General features: G+C 44.6%; 2 annotated features.

Moving 5' to 3' along the window:
- Positions 1,710-2,909: an enhancer, noted in NCBI's record as "CDK7 strongly-dependent group 2 enhancer chr3:165592326-165593525 (GRCh37/hg19 assembly coordinates)". NCBI's record gives its function as "activates an origin of replication core promoter dependent on BRD2, BRD4, P300/CBP, MED14 and CDK7 cofactors, with strong dependence on CDK7, by STARR-seq in HCT116 cells {active_cell/tissue: HCT116}" and the evidence as "EXISTENCE:reporter gene assay evidence [ECO:0000049][PMID:35650434]".
- Positions 1,753-2,276: an enhancer, noted in NCBI's record as "H3K27ac-H3K4me1 hESC enhancer chr3:165592369-165592892 (GRCh37/hg19 assembly coordinates)". NCBI's record gives its function as "activates a minimal SCP1, AML or CMV promoter by ChIP-STARR-seq in primed H9 embryonic stem cells {active_cell/tissue: H9 hESC(primed)}" and the evidence as "EXISTENCE:reporter gene assay evidence [ECO:0000049][PMID:30033119]".

The following is a 3,133-nucleotide window of genomic DNA, read 5'->3' on the forward strand; positions in this document are numbered from 1 at the left end:
CCTTAGGTCTGTTAGTAATTGTTTTATAAATTTGGGACCTCCAGTGTTAGGTGCATATATGTTTAGGATTGTGATATTTTGCTGTTGGACAAGGCCTTTTACCATTATGTAATGTCCCTTTTTGTCTCTTTTAACCACTGTTGTTTTAAAGTTTGTTTTGTCTGATACAAGAATAGCTACCCCTTCTTCACTTTCAGTATCCAACTGCATGAAATGCCTTTTTCTACCCCCTTACTTTAAGTTTATGTGAGTCCTTATGTGTTAGGTGAGCCTCCTGAAAGCAGCAGCTAGTTGGTTGGTGAGTTCTTAACCATTCTACAGTTCTGTATTTTTTAAGTGGAGCATTTAGGCTATTTATAGTCAATGTTAGTATTGAAATTTGGGGTACTGTTGCATTCATCATGCTTTTTGTTGCCTTCATTGTTTTTTATTTTTATTTTTTGGTTTTTTGCTTTTGCCTTTTAACTTGTATCTTTGTTTTATAGATCCTGTGTGCTTTATGCTTTAAAGAGATTCTGTTTTGATGTGTTTCCAGGATTTGTTTGAAGATTTAGAGCTCCTTTTAGCAGTTCTCATAGTGGTGGCTTGGAAATGGAGAATTCTCTCAGTTTTCATTTGTCTGAAAAATGACTGTATCTTTCCTTCATATATGATACTTAGTTTTGCTGGATACAAAATTATTGGCTGAAGATTGTTTTGTTTGAGGTGGTTGAAGATAGGGCCCCAATCCCTTCTAACTTGGAGGGTTTCTGCTGAGAAATCTGCTGTTAATTTGATAGGTTTTCCTTTATAGGTTACCTGGTGCTTCTGTCTTACAGCTCTTAAGATTCTTTCCTTCTTCCTAACTTTGGATAACCGGATGACAACGTGCCTAGGTGAAGATCTTTTTGTGATGAATTTCCCAGGTGTTCTTTGTGCTTCTTGTGTTTGGCTATCTAGGTCTCTCACAAGACCTGGGAAGTTTTCCTTGATTATTCCCCCAAATATGTTTTCCAAGCTTTTAGAATTCTCTTCTTCCTCAGTAACACCGAATATTCTTAGGCATGGTCATTTAACATAATCCCAAACTTCTTGGAGGCTTTGTTCACATTTTCTTATTCTTTTTTCTTTGTCTTTGTTGGATTGAGTTAGTTCAAAAACCTTGTTTTCGAGCTCTGAATTTCTTTCTTCTACTTGTTTAATTCTATTGCTGAGACTTTCCAAAGCTTTGCATTTCTAAAATTGTGTCCAAAAGTTCCTGAATTGTTGATTGTTTTTTCTTTAAGCTATCTATTTCATTGACTATTTCTCCCTTCACTTCTTGTATCATTTTTTGGATTTACTTGCACTGGGCTTCGCCTTTCTCTGGTCCCTCCCTGATTAGCTTAATAACTAACCTCCTGAATTCTTTTTCAGGTATGTCAGGGATTTCTTCTTGGTTTAGATCCATTGCTGGTGAACTAGAGTGATTTCTGGGGGGTGTTGATGATCCTTATTTTATCATATTACCAAGGTTGGTTTTCTGGTTCCTTCCCATTCGGATAGGCTCTGTCAGAGGGAAGGTCTAGGGCTGAAGACTGTTGTTCAGATTTTTTTGTCTCATGGGGTGTCCCCTTGATGTTGTACTCTCCTCCTTTTCCTATGGATGCGGCTTCCTGTGAGTCTAACTGCAGTGATTGTTGTCTCTCTTCTGGGTCTAGCCACCCCGCAAGCCTACCCAGCTCCTGGCTGGTGCTGGGGATTTCTGCACAGAGTCTTGTGATGTGAACTGTCTATGGGTTTCTCAGCTGTGGATACCAGCACCTGTTCTGGTGGGGGTGGCAGAGGGTGCTGGCTCCGTGAGGGTTCTTAGCTTTGGTGGTTTAATGCTCTATTTTTGTGCTGGTTGACCTCCTGCCAAGAGGTGGCGCTTTCCAGAAAGCATGAGCTGTAGTAATGCGGAGAGGGACCAGTAGGGCGCAGGGCCCTAGAACTCCTAAGGTTATATGTCCTTTGTCTTCCAGTACCAGGGTGGGTAGGGAAGGACCATCAGGTTGGGGCAGGGCTAGGTGTGTCTGAGTTCAGACTCTCCTTGGGCGGGTCTTGCTGTGGCTGCTGTGAGATTCCCAGGTCACCAGAGCTGTGTACCTAGGAGGATTACCGCTGCTCCTGCTGAGTCATGCAGGTTGTCCGGGAAGAGGGGAAAAGCCGGCAATCACAGGCCTCACCCAGCTCCCACGCAAACCGAAGAGCTGGTCTCACTCCCACAGTGCCACCCACAGCCTGTTTCCAGGCGGAGAGCGGGCTTAAAAACTTGTCCGAGGCTTTCCACCTCCCAGCTGCAAAAGAAAAGGGCTTCAGTTCTTCCCTCACCTGTGAAGTCTGCAAGCCAGATTCACACCCTCTCCTGCGTTCTGGCCAGGAGGCTTCTCTCCCTGCTCAAATTGTTACAAAGTTCAGGTGGGGAAGTCCTTCTCCCGGTGGGGTTTTACCCCCTGCTCCTCTGGCCACCCTCCTGATGGATCCCTGTGGTGCCAGGCAGGCAGGAATGGGCTATGGGGATTCAGTGAGCTCCCAGGGCCTCCCAGCTACCTCCTCCACCCCTGTATTTCAATCACCTCGGCTCTCTAATTTGACTCAGCTCCAGGTAAGTCGAGAACGTCTCCAGCAAACAGACCTTCAGCTTCTCCGGTGGGGGTGTGTGTTTGGGAAAGGAGGGTCTCTTTCCCACTTCTGCAGTTGGGGCACTCACAGTATTTGGGATGTCTCCCTGGTCTTGCAGGAGCAGTCTGCTTCCTTCAGAGGGTCTGTGGGTCCTCTCTGGGTTGCTGGTTTGTTTTTGCAGTCAATCTGGTGCTAAAATTCACAATGCAAGCCTCTGCATACTGCGCTGTCTGGAGCTGCAGTCTAGTCCTGCCTGCTGTCCGCCGTGATCTGCTGTATCTCTCATACCTTAAATATTTTTAATATGGAGTTTTAGCATGTTGATCCTATGATGATGGTGATGATGATGACGAGATAACTTAATCAGTCTCTCCTAGTACCAGTCTCTGGGCCAAATGCTTTGCATGCATAACCTCAATGCATCCTCACTGCGACTCTGTGAAATAGAAAGCATATTATAACTGGCTTGCAGTTGAATTAACTGAGACTTAGCAACACTAAATAAGTAATG

This window comes from Homo sapiens, chromosome 3 (assembly GCF_000001405.40).
Source record: "Homo sapiens chromosome 3, GRCh38.p14 Primary Assembly".
In the NCBI taxonomy this organism is placed as follows: domain Eukaryota; kingdom Metazoa; phylum Chordata; class Mammalia; order Primates; family Hominidae; genus Homo; species Homo sapiens.